Here is a 17,818-nt window from a genome sequence, read left to right as displayed (position 1 = left end):
GGTTAACATGGTGAACATGGTGAAACCCTGTCTCTACTTAAAAGAAAAAAAGAAAAGAAAACAACTTTTAAAATTCACTTCTAAAGGAAACTCAGCAGCAGCAACAACATTAGCATCGATGAACAGGTGCCTCCCCGCCAGGATGTGCTTGATATTTCTTGAACTGAATTGAATTGGAAACAACAGAAAGTCGATGCACTTGAGAAATAAATCAGCTTACCAGCAGGTTTTCATACTCCTCCTCCAACTGGTAGATCGCAGATTTCTCGCGCTAGAAGACAACAAAAAGCAGGTAGATATAAATCCCCTTGTGGATTGTATAGAAAAGAGTGGCCCTTCTAAGCCTCCTTTTCTTCAGATACTGGCCTCAGATCCCTCCATAGAAAGAAAGAATTACTAGCTCTATGAGATATTTCACCCATGGGGACTTTTTCCTAGGCGGTTGGAAAGCAAACCCTTGCTGGCCTGGCAGCACCGTCTCCACAAAGGAAAGCCCAGATCAGGGTCACTTAAAGACTCACGTGTTAGAAAATTGTCTTAAAGTTTAAAGACATCATTTAGGATTCCCTAGGTCTTAGAGAAATGAAGGAGAAAGTTGGTCAGGGGCTCAGGTGGACAAAAGTAAGCCCCAAAAAGCCAGAAGAAGAAATGAGGATGAGAAGCTATGGTCTCAGGTAAAAAAAAAAAAAAAAAGTTTAGTGATTTACAAGTGTAGAGACCTGCGGGAAACTAAGCACTTAAGATCAGTTATGATTTTATGCTGTAATTCTCAACCCAGTTTCAAGTCTGACTTTTTTCAGCATGGGAGCGGGTGTCGGGATGACATATGGCTTTGCTCAGTAGAAATAATGTTTTAATTACCACCTAGGAAAGGATTCACCAATGACACAAACTACTGTATAAGACTGTTGCATTTCCCCTATTCAAAAAGATGTTCTGCTTACCGCAGAAACAAACTGCCACCCCTAAAGAGACTTATTCACAAACTGCAAATGAGTGTTTGCACAACCTCAGCCTCTGGTTTAACTCCTCTTCAAGTGTTAACATAATCTCTAATAGGGCTACTGATTCCACTTCCCCATTTAAGAAGTGGGATTTCTAAACATTTCCAGTCTTCTGGGAAAGAAATAATAGCAATGTTTCAGAAGAAACTCCCTGGGATTGAGTAATTACACGATCCTTCGGTAGATATTTTGAAGACTCTAAAATGAAACACAGACAAGTACCAGGTCGGCTTTGATTTTGTCCAGCTGCCAGCGATAGTCGCCGATGGAGTTGTGGATGCCCCGGTGGCTGTTAATGTGCTGCTCCACTGAGGCCAGGTCCACACCCCAGGCCACCATGTCCATCTCCGCCTGCGACACAAAGACAAAGAGAGGCGCCCTTTGTTGTTGCCCCTTTGCACCTGTTTCACTTACGCACACCATCACGGCTTTACTTCAGATAGAACCAAAGATGTAAATATGGAGTATTTTTGAAGCCAGAATATTTTTTAAAGGTTCCCAAATGGCTAATGCAGGGTTGCCAAATACTTCCCTCAACTTGCTTGACCCCAGCTCAAGATGGGCAGAGAAGGAAATTTAGAAATGGGAACCTGAAAACCAAGATCATGTCTTCTGAAAAAAAAAAAAAACCAAATCTACCTGTGCACAGGCAAGCAAGCATGTGCACAGAACATATGTGTGCATATATATGTATGATATGTTATAAAATACTCATTTAATCATTCTTAAATGTGCATAAAAAAATCATTAAATAAATGCAATCATACACTGTTCCCCAAACTAAATAGTCAACCTAAAAGCATCTTTCATTGTTTATTTCTTTATATTGTCTTGATGGATGTAATTATTGGCTTTTTAAAATCCAGGATATACCATTCCCTTTTAGGATGCAAAACTCCCTATGGGCCACTTCAAAGGGAAGTCACTATATCTACTCAAGGATTCAATTTCCATGAGTGTTGGCAATATTAGGATTGTGGACTTAAGTTACCTTTTTTAAAAAATTAAATCTGACTAAATTTATTATTTGAGCCTCAAATTTAAGAATGTTTCACAATAAGAATCACACACACTGTTCCGCCAGTTCCACACTGGGGCAAGTCCATTATCTCACCCTTCTTTTGCATGAGTACATGTAAATTTCCAAATCACCTGTGTCATCTCTTGGACATGCCAAGGGCAAACATTCCAATCTGGGATTGCAGCAAGAACATAAAACACATTGTTCTAAGCCACATCCATGTTCTAATACACTTGGCAAGGCTTCAGAAAGGGGAGCCATTTCAGAGTCAGACAACAGAAGGTTACCCGGGACTTTGACCCTTCTCTCCCACAGCTGTCTCGGCTTTAAACCAGAGACAGCCAGGTGCGTGCAGTGGGACATTAGCAACGTGACCAGGCTCCAGCTCAGGCGTCTCATTACCAGCCAGGTGTATCGTATCTGACCTGTCCATCGGCAAACACAAATCGGGAAAACAAAACAAAAACCTGGCTCAGGAGTGCCTGCCTCCTGACTGGCTGCTGGGGCAACAGTTCCCTTATCAGCTGGGCCCTGCAGCTCAGTCTCCTGGGAATGAGGTAAAGCATGCAGGGGAACAAGCGATAAGAGGAAAGGAGCCACAGCAAATCCCAGAGCGAACCTGCAGTAAGCAATCAAACAGCTTTTAGTTTGTTTGCAACCATGAGGGCTGCGTGCCTAACCCGGAAAGCATCGCTTATCAATTGCTTCTGTTAGAAAACGACATAAAACTGGCTGGGCGTGGTGGCTCACACCTGTAAACCCAATACTTTGGGAGGCCAAGGCGGGCGGATCACAAGGTCAGGAGTTCGAGATCAGCCTGACCAATATGGCAAAACCCCCGTCTCTACTAAAAATGCAAAAAATCAGCTTGCCATGGTGGCACACGCCTGTAGTCCCAGATACTCGGCAGGCTGAAGCAGGAGAATTGCTTGAACCCGGGAGATAGAGGTTGCAGTGAGACGAGATCATGCCACTGCACTCCTGCCTGGGCAACAGAGTGAGACTCCCTCTCAAAAAAAAAAAAAAGAAAATGACATAAAACTGAATTCATGTGGTAATACTTTTCCAAAATTTAAAGACATTGAGCATTTACTACATTCTTAAGCTACACCCAACATAAATACAAAAAAATGACAAATTACAGGCTGTCTTTTTTTATAACTGTCATACTAAGAAAACTTTAGGAGATATGACATTTCAAACTAATTTGATTGGAAGGCTGTTTTGCCCATCATTGTGGATCCTTAAGATGTAGTTAAGCCCCATCAGCTCCGCTATGTCTTCCTGTGACTGTTCCACTCCACAGGAGCTGGCCACCCTCCCCTCTAACTAAGCAAGAATGTATTATAGCTGATCTAGACAGAAATTTGGCATTTGAGCGTATGCATCTTGTTTTCTTCGATAACATTCATTTTCAGGACTAGGGACCATAATCTTTGTACCCTTGGGTGGCACTACATATAAAATCCTCAAGAAATGTGCTCGAAGATTAGAAGGAAATTTGAAAAACATACAAATAGATTTGTATTTAGGTTTCTGATATTTTAACTGACTTTTGTTCTTTCTAAGCCTTACCTTCTGTAATAGCTTATATTCTTTATAATAAATGGGAGAAAAAGGTAACTGAATGAATGAATAAATGTTTAGTCACTGAAGTCCTCACTACTTAGGAAAGAATACACAAAAATTTTAAAGGAGTTGAGAAATTTTAGAACCACTGCTGAATTAGTCTAACAACTAATCAAACCAAGCTTTCTTACAACCACATCTAAATTGCATAACAATCTCTCCACAACTTATCACTCTAACACATCCACATTCTCAAGGGAAGGGTTAGGAGTAGGTTTTCATTATAAAATTCCCATCTACATGATTGTGGCATATTTCTACCACCACCTGTTCATTATAGGACATAATGACTACATGAAACAACACAACAATCATTAGTCTTGAAAAATACTTTGCAGAAACTCCAGTTCTAGGGAAAGGATCAGCATATCCTTCCAACATTATTTTGCTTCACTCCCACACTGGTGACGTGATGGTTGCACAATGAGACAACTGAGACTTCAAAAGTCTAAGGTAAGCAACCAATGAGCCTAAACCAGAATGGCTAGTTTCACTGTTTCCAGCTCCTCCAATCTATGACCATTTTAAATGAACTGCCACAATGGGCTTTTTTTCAAGTACCTATGAGTAAAACAGATGAGGTCAGTTGCCACTCACATAGAACAATGAAGTTATTTAGCACATAAACTCCCACAACAGATCTTTCCGGTGGTCAATATAAGAACTGGATATTCAAAGTCTACTAACTAAATTACACATGTTAAATATGACCTGTGTGATAAAGGATGACTATAAAGCAATGAGGCTGATTCCCCAAGCCACACTGAAATCTCATTCATTCCAAAATAGAAGACCACTTTTCAAATTGTATAGGAGGAAAATCCTGCAAACAGCAAGCTGCTGCCGCCACCTGAGGTCTAGAAGACTCTTTGTCACACAAACACATGGGCTGACCCCATCGTGCTGGAACGTCTGGCCTGCACAGGTTTGGGCTGTTCAAGAAGCTGCTTACCCTTTGCTGCCTCATCCACCCCAAACATTCACTGGTGACATGTTTGGTGAACTCATCCCAGCCAGAGCCACTCTGACAAGTGTAGCCTCCACCACCCTTGGAGCTGGCCCTGCGGACTCGAGGGACACTGATGGCTTTATAAAGGGCTCGCATTTGCTCTTGGAGCTGAAGAAGCCTGCAAAGAAAAAAACCTTTAAACCACTGCAGGAAAACAGCCTATGAAAACCCGTTCTGGGCAAATTTCCCCTTTTCTGAGTCTTTTGTGTCAATAGAGAAGCTACAAATGTTTTATGGTATTTGAAGATTTTTTTTTCTTTACCCCAGGACTTAAGTCTTAATCACATACAAAAAATTAAATCTTAGGAAGAGGTTCAAAGTGCGTAACAGCATAGAAAGCGTCACTGCCTTTGCCTAACCTGGGAGCAACTTTCATTTTCTCTTGCGTTTTGTCCTGGGAGTTTTCCTAGTACCCTGGGCCCCAGGTAGTAGTAGAACAAATTCAGACTACATTTTTCTGCCTTATAGTCTTTGTTTCCAACTCTAAGGGTCTCATTTTTATATTTATTAAACTAAGCTTGACTTGATATTAGACCCTTAAGTGATTCACACCTGTAATCCCAGCACTTTGGGAAGCACAAGACGGAGGATTGCTTGAGCCTAGGACTTCGAGATCAGCCTAAGCAACATGGCAAAACCCTGTCTCCACAAAAAATTTTTTTTTAATTTGCTAGGTATGGCACATGCCGATAGCCCAACTACTTGATAGGCTGAAGTGGGAGGATTGCTTGAGCCCAGGAGGTTGAGGCTGCGGCGAGCCACATTTGTGCCACTGCACTCCAGCCTGGGTGACAGAGCGAGACCCTGTCTCAAAAAAAAAAAAAAAAAAAAAAAAAGTCAAATGCCATGCCAAAGGGCTTTCTGTCCTCTAAAGGGAGGTACAGTTAACACCTATAATGAAATGGTCACTTTGTATTAGAGATACATAATAAAGTTGCAAAATACCAAGTAAGCAAACCTTTCCTTGGGAACATTTGTGCTGCCTTCAAAGGAAGCCCTGGGTCATGGAATTGAGTGTAACTGGTTATGTGGTGTTCTTTTTCATGGGGACTGCCCGATCCATGCTCTGTGGACAATACCTTTTCTGGTAAGCATCACAGGGCTGGCCCATCTGCCGCATCTCTCTGATCAAGCTGTCGAGGATTTCCATTTGGTCATTGGCCTGGGCAAAACACTCATCCAATTCTCGACTCCGAGTCAGTTGTATTCCATCTCCATACTTCAATTCCTGAAAGAAAACACTCACATGAAGGAAAACACATACTACCAGGAAGAAAACCTTCATGGGCATTAATGGAAGCAAGAGCTTCCACTGTAAACATGACAAAAACTGTAAGTTTCGCCAGTGAAAATGATCTTATTGAGATAAGAAGGTAAACAGACGGAGATTCATGAACCAAAGTTTGTGGACTGTCTTTTAAATTTGCACTTGGCTTTTAAAGTCACATTTGCTGAATGCTAACCTTCCCCTTGCTTCAGTATGTTAAATGCTGATCTTTCATATTTACACACAAGTCTCATATAATGGGAATCTCATTGTGACAAGGACACTGTACCATTATGGTACAGTGGTACAGATGGGGCCTCTTATGCACAGAGTTTTTCCTATACCTTATGAGAACATAATGTTTTAGTTCTTTTTTTATTTTTATTTTTATTTTTTTGAGACAGAGCCTTGCTCTGTTGCCCAGGCTAGAGTGCAGTGGCACGATCTCAGCTCACTGCAACCTCTGCCTCCTGGATTCAAGTGATTCTCCTGCCTCAGGCTCCTGAGTAGCTGAGACTACAGGCATGTGCCACCACGCCAGGCTAATTTTTGTATTTTTAATAGAGACAGGGTTTCACCACATTGGCCAGGCTGGTCTTGAACTCCTGACCTCAAGTGATACACCCGCCTCGGCCTCCCAAAGTGCTGGGATTACAAGCGTGAGCCACCACGCCTGGCCAACGTTTTAGTTCTTAAAAAGAAGGCTTCTGCCTGGTTAACTGTATTGGGCCAATCAATGTCCTGGTTTTGATGATGCGCTATAATCATATAAGATGTCACTACTGGGCGAAGCTGGGTGCTGGGTAGAGACCCCTTTGTACTATTTTTGCAACTTCTTATGAGTCTATAACTACTTCAAAATTTAAAAAGGCTTTTGTATTCAGAAAAACAAAAACAGAAAGCTTCCTCCTCTGCTTCAGTAACACCTACTGATCTTTCTCTGGAATTTTATATTTGCTGCTTTTACTTGGCTTTAGTCAAATGAACCTCTTTTCTCTAAACAGAAATGTTAGCAAATATGACACTATTTCCCTAACCTGTTTTTATTTATTGCACGTTGATGCATATAAGCAAAAATAAACTGAGAACATGAGGCCATGCAAAATTTTCAGAGCTACATGTAAAACGTATCCATAGTCACTACAAATGACGTGTGTGTGTGTATGTTCACTATTAAGTCACTGGTGTCTGCTATTTTGTTTTGTGTAAAGGAATCGGGCCACTGCGAGGAACATTTCAAGGAGTATGTTTCAAATCAGACACTCGAAACAACTAGAACTGGAGCCAAGCTAGTTTGCTGAGCCCCAAATATCTCTGAACATGGACTAACGTGACATTCTTTTTTTAACTGGATGAAGAAATTCAGAACTAGAACCCACACAATATCTAAATTAAGAAATTAGAATATTAAAATGTTATCTAAACAGAGCCCGTAAATTCATCTGGTTAAAATCTGTTTCAAATGTAGGCTATTTAGAAGGGGTACTTTGTGAAGAGGCAGATGCCAGATGTAACCTTGATACCAGTGTCGGCATTAGGGAGACTTCGCTGAAAAGATTCAGTGACTCAGGAAAGGGATAGAAAAGATGGCTACGGCCCCACCATTCTCTATTCTGTTTTTAGCAAACTCGGAGCAAAGGTGAATGCTAGTGTTTTAAAATGAAGACTTCACACAGCAAATACCACGAACTCCATGATTTCTAATCTGGATTCGATGAGATCCTAGGATGTCTCAGTTATCTTAAGAAACATCGCAAGGTTCTCAGAAATGTTACCATTTCTCCTCAATTTTCCATTGCCTATTTTTCCCCATTTTTCTGTTTCTCAGATAGAATTGTTATCTCAATATAGTCATTTTCTCTGAAAAAAAAAATCATACTAAATTGATGGTGCACATGAAGATCCATCCCAACCCAGGAACAGAAACATGCCAGGTTGCATTTCTCAGAAGGGAAAGTATCAAAAAGTCACGTAAATCATAAATTGCTTTATTTCCAAAAAGGTGGCAATCTGTAGTGTAAACATTTGTTGGGAGGGGGACGGGGAACTGTCTGAAAGCTGGTTCTCATTGTTAAACCAACATTACAAATAGGTTAAGAAGACACACATCTCTCTGTAGTCTGTTCTGAAAAAGCGTGTCTCTAAACACTACGTGAAAGAGGTCAGTGAATAGGCCCCGGCCAGCAGAAGCTAACCAGAGGACAGTCGGGTGTGGCCAAGGCTTTGGGAGAAGCGATGGGAACAGGGAAAGCTTACAGGCTGCACGATGAGCTCTGCTCGCATCAAGCAGTCGGAGCAGTTCTGCAGCAGCTCCTGGATGGTGTTCTGGTTCTGGTGCCTGGACATCGTGCCGGTTTGACTAAGGAGGCAAACACAGAGAAACCAGACATCAAATAACCTATTTCAATTCTGAAATAATTTCAAACTTGCAAAAGTTGCAAAAACGGGACAAAACCACTCCTGTGAGACCCTTTACCCGGAATCCCAATTGTTAACATTTTGTTGTGTTTCTTTTATCCCCCTTCTCCCCTCTCCATAGATGTGTGTGTATTTATCTGTGTGTATATATTATTTTTTCTGAACCACTTGAGAATAACCATGCCCTTCTACCCCCAAATATTTCAGCATATATTTATCTATGTATACATATTATTTTTTTCTGAATCATTTGAGAACATGGCTTTTTAACCCCCAAATATCTTAGCATATCATTCCTAAGAATAAAAACATTCACTTATATATAACCACAATACAATGATGAGAAGCAGAAAATTTACAATTGACACAAATGATTTTCTAATTTATAGAACTTGTTCAGATTTCACCAATTAGCCCAATAATGTCATTCACAGCAAGTTTTCCCCTCCCAGGTCCAGGATCCAATCCAGAAATATATCTCTCTGAGTTATAAAAACACACTTCTGGCAATGACAATGACACACAGCTATTTCAGCTTCACTCCTGCTTCATCCCACAGCGGTCCCTAATGACAGTCCCCAACACCACAAGTCCCTCTGCAGGAAGACCTCATGGTGTCAGACACAGAGCATGAAGATTTCACTGGCAAGTCGGGCTGAAGGAAAGGTAGGAGAGGAGAAAAAAGCTTACTCTACAAAAATATTGGCCGGACACAGTGGTTCACACCTGTAATCCCAGTGCTTTGGGAAGCCAAGGCAGGCAGACTGATTAAGTCTAGGAGTTGGAGACCAGCCTGAGCAACATAGCAAGACCCTGTCTTACAAAAAAAAAAAAGATTGTTTTTAAATTAGCCAAACATGGTGATGCATGCCTGTAGCTCTAGCTACTCAGGCAGCTGAGGTGGGAGGATCACTTGAGCCCACGAGTTGGAGGCTACAGTGAGCTATGATCACAGCACTGCACTCTTGCCTCGGTGACAGAGTGAGACCCTGTCTGTAAAAATATATATATATATTTTCTGTAATTCCTGTAAAAGACAATAATGTTTTTTTTAAAAATCATGGTGTGAAGAAAGTGATGGAAAATTTAAATACATTGTCTTTATCGCAAAACAAACCCATTCTCCTTTCAAGATGTTCCTAGAATACCTATTTTTCTCTACAATGAAGCTCATTCAATGTACATTTCAAATGAGGCACTTTTCTGGAAGACACCTAGCAGAAACCTTAAAACAACGGTGGTGTTGGCGGAAAATGTTGCAGATGGTCTGTATCTTAAAGAACGAGATGACAGAGTTTCATTTGCTCTTCAAGCAAGGTATAACCAAAGTCTGGCTTTTAAATTTACCAAGATATATTATGCCACAGCACAGCCTACTGTAGTTTGGTTTCAGAGAGATTTAAAGCAGACCAAGTGATTATTTAATGTCTGTGAAAAGTCCTCACGGATGTGCTACAAGAAGTTGGCTCTTCCTACCTTCAGCCAGGGCCAGCCTGAGCCTGCTTTTATCTGATGCCTGTCTAACCAACTGGGTGTGTGTGTGTGTGTGTGTGTGTGTGTGTGTGTGTGTGTGTGTTTTAAAGAAAGAATTTCACTGTTTAAAAAAAAATGTTTGACAAACAATGGTTGCATTATGCATAGATGGGATAAGATCACAGTAATGTGGGAATTCTCCCGAAGCACCTGGCTGCACTGTCTCACCATGGGAAAGCATTTCTTTTTTGGCCACCCATTTGGGGTTCCTCCCTGCAGGCAAGGCTCCCCAACAAGCCAGGACTAGATGAATGTGGGTGAGGAGCCCAGACCTCCCTGGGAACTACTCCCAGAAGAAGACACAGGCTCCTCCAGGCAGGCCCAGGGGAGGTGGTGCCAGAGCCATCCAGCTCTCGAAACCAAGACTGCCCCCACCCACCACCAATGCAACCAGTCTCTGTCTTCCACTCCGAATTATACAGGAAATGAGGTCCGTTTCTCATACTGCTGAGATACAAGCAAGATCACATTTGTTGTCCTAACTTGTGCAGAATTCCAACTGACTTAGAACACCTTCCAAAACGTACCTGTTATCAAACAGAGGAAAGAAATTCAAGAGACAAAGGAAAACATTAAGAAGCCCAGCAACCTCACTTAGAACCCTAGGATGAATTAAAAAATTAGGAAGGTCCTGTGTAATTATCTTTATTTTCTTCATTGAAGGGGCATAGGAATACCTTTATTCTGAAACATTAAGAAATTCTGTTCAGCAATTTGGCTCCGAAGGTGATTCCCACAAAGAATGCCAGTCCCAAGCAGATAAATGAAAGAGTTGTCTCTTAGCACAATGGAAAGTCAGAGTTTCCTAAATGATTTAATAATGTGTGCCACTGTAAAAACAATCACAAACTGAGCTATAAGATGAGGGTGGGGCACGCCTGTAATCCCCGCACTTTGGGAGGCCAAGGCAAAAGGATTGCTTGAGCTCAGGAGTTCAAGACTAGCCTGGGCAACACAGCATAAAACCCCGCTGTTAAAAAAAAATAAAATGATGGAGGCATGGGAAACTGGGTGAGGGTATACACAAACTTTGTACTATTTTGTAACTTTTCTGCAAATCTAAAACTATTCTAGAATTAAAATGTATTAAAAAACAGAGACAGGGAGGACAAACACAATTGTGAATGAACGCACCGAAGTGTACATACACATTTTTAAAAGTGAATTTATGAGATCAAATTCATTTGACCACAAAATATAAAACTTGCCAACTTCTTTTTACCCAAGAACTAGACTGATTAGTTATACCACAGTTAGAAACGAATTACATCCAGGATAAAGGAGGTAAGGCAACCAAACATTGGCTTAAAACATTGGTGGGTTTGCTCTGTTTTTTAATTCCCTCCCCCTAGTTTTAGAAGACATTCCTATTTCTCTAGAGATCAGTTGACATCCTATAAAGAGAAGACACCTTGCCTGCCTTCCCTTGCCTACCCATATTTGAACTTAAAAAAAAAAAAAAACAACAGGTAACTTTATATGCTGCTAATAATACCAAATAAATTCTTCGTGCTTTTCTAAAGGATTTCCATTTCCATATGTTCTTTTTTTTTTTTTTTTTCCGAGATGGAGTCTTGCTCTGTCACCCAGGCTGGAGTGCAGTGGCATGATCTCGGCTCACTGCAACCTCCACTTCCTGGGTTCAAGTGATTCTCCTGCCTCAGCCTCTGGAGTAGCTGGGACTACAGGCATGCACCACCACGCCCAGCTATTTTTTTTTTTTTGTATTTTTAATAGAGATGGGGTTTCACCATGTTGGTCAGGCTGGTCTCAAACTCCTGACCTCAAATGATCTGCCCACCTCGGCCTCCCAAAGTGTTAGGATTACAGGCGTGAGCCACCGCGCCCTGTCTCATATGTTCCTGATATCCACTAAAAAACTTACATGTTTTGCACAGCATCTTAGTAAATAAATTAACAACTGTATAGGAATGGGGAATGCACAGAAATCTAATCCTTTGAAGGGTTGAAAAAATAAAAAGCTTAAGTGTTGGAACAATGAAATAAAGAATCTTTGATATCATTATTTGTCTATTGGGAAGTGTGATCTGATTAACGAAATTTCATCATATACACAACTTTTCAAGACCGCGTCTGATCCTTAAAACAAGGTCTACTTCTATCTTTCATCTGTAAGAATCCAACTTCAGTCTTAGGTGTGGCCAAGAATTCCCTTTGGAAACAGACCGAGGCGAGAAAAGGAACTAGGTATATACCTTGTGAATGGCTCGGTCCATCAAAACAAGATAGAGGGAGACTCAGGCCAACTAAGGTATAGGGAATCCACCTTGCCAGGTCAGTTTGCTTGTCTTAGCCCAATGAAGAATCCACACAGAACTCGCTGTACTTAATCAGGGAGGAAGTTCAGCGGAAATGATTTCGACCCATCGGGTCAGTCTGATGTCAGACATACACCAGCTGTATGTGTAGCACTGGATTCTTCAGCACGAGAGCCAGGAGAGCTTGCTTCAGGAAACATGCCTGTTTTTTTTTTTTGAGAAGGAGTCTCACTCTGTCGCCCAGGCTGGAGTGCAGTGGCACAATCTCAGCTCATTGCAACCTCCACATCCTGGGTTCAAGTGATTCTTCTGCCTCAGCCTCCCAAGTAGCTGGGATTACAGGCACACTGCCACCACGCAAAGCTAATTTTTGTATTTTTAGTAGAGACAGGGTTTCACCAAATTTTGGCCAGCCTGGTCTCAAACTCCTGACCTCAAGGGATCCACCCGCCTTGGCCTCCCAAAGTGCTGGGATTACAGATGGGAGGCACCACTCCCAGCCAGGAAACATGCATTTTTTTAAAAGCTGTAATTCAAACCTTTCTAAGTCAGATTATATATATATATGTTATTGACTACACAATTTTAGATTTTTTTTTAATCTCAGAAATTTCTATCTCCATCTGTTGGGCTAAATGGTATGTAAGATTTCTTCACCTCATTCATTCTGTAACTCAATTTTAGGAAATGACCAAACTCATTCTTCCTTACTGAAAATAATACAAATGTCTATGTTAAGTTCATGGTAAATAAATTTATTCATGCTAATTGAATTAAATTTAATTCATATAGTGCAGTTTGGGAAAATGCAAAATTCTATAATGGATAAAGAAATAATTTTAAAATGATGTACTTACAAGCGTATACACATTTTTTTAAATCCCTACCCTCAAAGAAATTTTTAATACTGCTACATATGGGTGTTAGGGGTTGAAAGATTTTCAAATCATGTTAGGAATTAAATTAACAAGCCATGAAGTTCGATTTTTAAATCCCATTTCAGTGGCACAGAAGATGGCAGATGTCATGTGCTTTTTTAAAAAAAAAAAAAGAAAAAGAAAACAACTCATTTGGGTCAAATTTATCAAAAGAATATTGACTTCCAAACCAAAATTAATAGGTGCCCTTGAAAAAAATAACTCATCCTTAAAAGTTTTTAACTCTTCTGAGAGATAAATGAGTCATATTACAAAGAACCTACCTGCACATACTTTTTTTTTAAGTTCATCCTAAAACTTGTTTAAACAAGTAAGGATTCCAAATATTTGCATAGAGAGCCCTTCATCGGTGGTTAAAAAGAAAACAAGTTCTGGATTCTAATCCAAAGACGGACCACATGAATATGTGAACAATATTACCAAGATTTCAAGGTTTTATTTTACTACCTTTAAAAAAACATTTTTCTTTAAAAATAGGACTCCAAAACTAGCTGTCCTAAGGCATTAGCTTTACATGTGTTGCCAAAAATATTATTTTTAAAAATACAAGACAAGGTTGGGTGCCGTGGCTCATGCCTGTAATCCCAGCACTTTGGGAGGCAGAGGCCGCCGGATTGCTTGAACCCAGGAGTTTAAGATCAGCCTGGGCAACATGGCGAAACCCCATCTCTACAGAAAAAAAAACAAAAACAAAACAGCTGGGCATGAAGGCACACGCCTGTAAGTCCCAGCTACTCGGGAGGCTGAGATGGGAGGCTGAGATGAGATGGTTGAACCTGGGAGGCAGAGGCTGCAGTGAGCCGAGATTGCACCACTGCACTCCAACCTGGGCGAAAGAACAAGACCTTGTCTTAAAAAAATAAAAATATTCAGAAAGATAAAGGAAAAAAAGTTCATACTTTCAAAAAGATAAAGAAAAAACACAAAAAAACAAGACAAATATTTCAAAGAGGGACATTATAGGCAAAAACAAAGTTTTTAAATGAAGAGTTACTCTCTTTGTTTTATAAAAATACTTTTATAATAACTATGTTGCTCATTAGACACTTGGACCATGCCCCCTAACTTTGCCTTTCTTTTTGTTTATATATTTTCTCTCTAACTGGACTCCTTTCCTTCCTTCCTCTTTCCATCTCTCCCTTCCTCTCTCTCCTCTTCTTTTGTTCATTCAGTCAACACAGGCTCTTGTACATATGCCAGAAAGACTCATATGTCTCTCTGTTTTCAGGTTCACAGAATAATTACCTAGGAAAAACTCAGGAAATGTGTGTTAGGAATTATGATAGTTATATAATGCTTTAATATTGACCGTGAGGCCTATTTGCTTAGCTCTTTATAATTTTCAAAGCATTTTTCACATATACTATTTTGTTTGAGTTTCTTGAAAGGATCTTTCATAAAAAGAAAAATATATTTTTAATACTTCATTTAAGGATGATACTTTACCTCTAAGATTCACTAGCCGGGTACGGTGGCTCACGCCTGTAATCCCAACACTTCAGGAGGCTGAGGCGGGAGGATCACCTGAGGTCGGGAGTTCCAGACCAGCCTGACCAACATGGAGAAACCCCGTCTCTACTAAAAATACAAAATTAGCCTGGCGTGGTGGCGCATGCCTGTAATCCCAGCTACTCAGGAGGCTGAAGCAGGAGAATCGCTTGAACCTGGGAGGTGGAGGTTGCAGTGAGCCGAGATCGCGCCATTGCCCTCCAGCCTGGGCAACAAGAGCAAAACTCCGTCTCAAAAAAAAAAAAAATTCATTAAACACTCTCTATATACATCAGCTGAAATGCTGTGTTAGCCATCCTTCAAAAGTTCAGAACTTCAAAAGTTACAGCCTTCTGCAAGGAGTTTTCCATATCACACCTCTGCATCCTCTCCTCTCTTGCATTAGTTTAAACACACCTGGCTACCTGCTCCTGGAGAGCAAAGTCCCATGTCTTAGTCATCTTGGACTCCTACAAACACTTAACCTAACAACATAAATAAGGTTCGGCACACAGAAGGTACTTAATGAATGTTTGTTTGGCTTAGTAAAGTGGAAGAAAAACAAAGGCAAACAAAAGACCCATCTGAGGGTATTATGGCTCATCTCATTACCCTGATTTCAAAAGCTCAACCAGAGAGCACAGCTCTCCCCTCCCCATTCCCACTCCAGCAGTGAGCAAACATGGTGGATTTTTTGTCTCTATAGATTTTAGAAAGACAGCCTCCTTTGATCCTGCATTTTGTCTTCGCCCAGCAGCTACAGAAACAGTACTCTAATAAAAGTTCTGCTTCTTTTCCAGGCGGTTTTCTCGATTTTCACACTGTGTGTTTGGCAGATTGTGTTTGTGGGATAGTGGAAAACTGATCACATATCATTAACTTCAGAAGGACTTTGAAGTAGGGCACAGTTGGAGTCCACGCCCAGCTCAGCCACTTCCAGTTATACAGCCTGTGACCTTGAGCAACTTAAAGTGACATCCACTGGCAGTGCCTGGAGCTTCTGCCTCTGTGACAGGTAGAACACCCCCCTCCTGGGGCTGAGGTGAGGCTCAGAGGGGCACTGCAGAGGCGGAGACCTCACTTAGTGATAGCTCTTACTTGCGGAGGCTGCTGCTGTTGTTATGGTTCTGAAATTTCTTTCTTTCTTTTTTTTTTTCACGGAGTCTCGCTCTGTTGCCCAGGCTGGAGTGCAGTGGCATGATCTCAGCTCGCTGCAACCTCTGCCTCCCGGGTTCAAGCGATTCTTCTGCCTCAGCCTCCTGAGCAGTTGCGACTACAGGAGCCCGCCACCACGCCCAGCTAATTTTTGTATTTTTAGTAGAGACGGGGTTTCACCATATTGGCTAGGCTGGGCTGGAACTCCTGACCTTGTGATCCGCCCACCTCGGCCTCCCAAAGTGCTGGATTACAGGCGTGAGCCACCGCGCCCGGCAGAAATTTCGTTTTTGTGTTTTGTCTTTGCCCCAGTCCATAACTTTAAGGATGTCCTGCAGCAAAATGGAGGCGGGGTGATAAGAAAAAAAAGAGAAAGAGGAAAAGGAAGAAATGGATTGGGTATTAAGTGTGAGGCATTTCAGGAGTTCCTCAGGTTCCCTACAAGACTCAAAAATAACTGAGACAATTCACAGAGAGTGATACACTTTAGCAGCATGAAAGAAACTTATTGAGGGTAAGAAAATTCAAAGGCCAGGTGCACTGGCTCTTGCCTGTAATTCTAGCACTTTGGAAGGCCAAGGTGGGAGGATCACTTGAGCCCAGGAGTTCAAGACCAGCCTGGGCAAGATAGCGAGACCTTGTCTCTACAAAAAAAAAAAAAAAATTTTAATTAGTTGTGTATGGTGGCGCACGCCTGTGGTCCCAAGCTACTCGAGAGGCTGAGGTGGGAGAGTCACTTAAGCCTGAGTGGTCAAGACTGCAGTGAGCTATGATCATGCCACTGCACTCCAGCCTGAGCCACAGAGCAACACCCCATCTCAAAACAAACAAACAAACAAACAAAATGTAATTCCAAGCAGAACCTTTGATCTGTTTGCTGCAGCTTCTCACTAAACTGTCTTCATTTTCATGAAATGTAGATTTCACATTCATGAGCCCTTCCAGCCCAAGGTGTCGGTGGTGAGCCATAAATTATTGGACTGCACTAGTATTTTACAAGATGTCACCTCAAATGAGCAGCTCATGTCTGAGTCTTAGGATCTGTGGGGCCGTGACTTCAAAATCAGAACCACATCTGAACGTTTTCAAGCGGCAGGGCCACTGGGACCAGCCCAGCGGGAGGGAGATGGAGAAAATCAAGGGGTGAGGCACTGCTCCCAGCTGCAGCAACAAGGCCTCCAGACTGAAACCACTCCTTCTAGAACCTCCTGGTCTGGAAAGACTGGTTAGCTGAGAGTCAAGACACACTCTCCAAGTCTCACACCCAAGCCCTCCTTTGCTCCACCCTAAGAAGTCAGCACTGAGGCATCAGGGGCATCAGCAGTTTTTCCCTTTCCAAGACACTTCCATTACCTGAACAATGAAATTATGCCCATATTTAGAGAAAAAAATGACTGTTGAAAGCTGTATTGTCCCATTAAATAGATCTGACTAACAATTAGTTGGCTTAATGCAGAATCAAATTGAGTTTCTTTTTTCCTAAGCAGATAGAAACTCTACAAGAGTATTAATGAAAGAATACAATGATTATGAAATATTTCACAGGAACGCAGACTGAGGAATTCAACAGATTAAAAATAAGTAATAACTCAGATAGAAAAGGGTTTACAAGTAGAAAAGGTGAATTCTCACACTGCAGGTTTAATCTTCTCTTGCGTCATTGTGGTATACTGGATTCAAATCTAGCTTAACAACTTAACTAGCTGTGTGACCTTAGGCAAGCCATTTAAATATTTTAACCTCAGCTTCCCATCTGTAAACTGGGAAGTTTGTTATGAGGCTTGAGATAACAAACATCCTATACAAGGCACATCACAGGTATTTGCTGGGTAATGGTAACTATTATTAACCACAGACCTGATATTTTTATAAAATATACAAGTTAAATTTAATAACCATGTAAATGTTACCTGCCGTATATTAAGCTAAACTAAATCTTGCTTTGCAATAATTTCCCAGAAAAGTGTTTAGACTATCTACGCTATGAGTCACTCGAGCTCTGGGCCTGTTTTCTCAGACTCTCCCTTGTCTCTCGCATCCAATTCTTAGCTGAAGCTGTCACTCCACCTTGGCAATA

At 41.3% G+C, this 17,818-nt stretch overlaps 1 protein-coding gene across 4 annotated transcripts in view, besides 1 other annotated feature; it reads right to left on the bottom strand.

The window, feature by feature from the left end:
• Positions 1–17,818, bottom strand: part of DSP (desmoplakin) — a 45,044-nt gene that overhangs the window by 22,708 nt on the left and 4,518 nt on the right. For all 4 annotated transcript variants that reach the window (NM_004415.4, NM_001319034.2, NM_001008844.3 and 1 more), the window contains exons 2-6: positions 8,187–8,289; positions 5,743–5,891; positions 4,607–4,781; positions 1,227–1,355; positions 221–271 (exon numbers count right to left, since the gene is read on the bottom strand). In NM_004415.4, the coding sequence (NP_004406.2) occupies positions 221–271; positions 1,227–1,355; positions 4,607–4,781; positions 5,743–5,891; positions 8,187–8,289 (607 nt within the window). The remainder of the gene's footprint in view (positions 1–220; positions 272–1,226; positions 1,356–4,606; positions 4,782–5,742; positions 5,892–8,186; positions 8,290–17,818) is intronic.
• Positions 1,505–3,080: an enhancer, noted in NCBI's record as "VISTA enhancer hs2191". NCBI's record gives its function as "enhancer in: other[5/5]" and the evidence as "EXISTENCE:transgenic organism evidence [ECO:0001131][PMID:17130149]".

This window comes from Homo sapiens, chromosome 6 (genome assembly GCF_000001405.40).
Source record: "Homo sapiens chromosome 6, GRCh38.p14 Primary Assembly".
Lineage (NCBI taxonomy): Eukaryota > Metazoa > Chordata > Mammalia > Primates > Hominidae > Homo > Homo sapiens.
The sequence above is the reverse complement of the archived record's forward strand: the minus strand, read 5'-3'. Positions and strand labels throughout refer to the sequence as shown.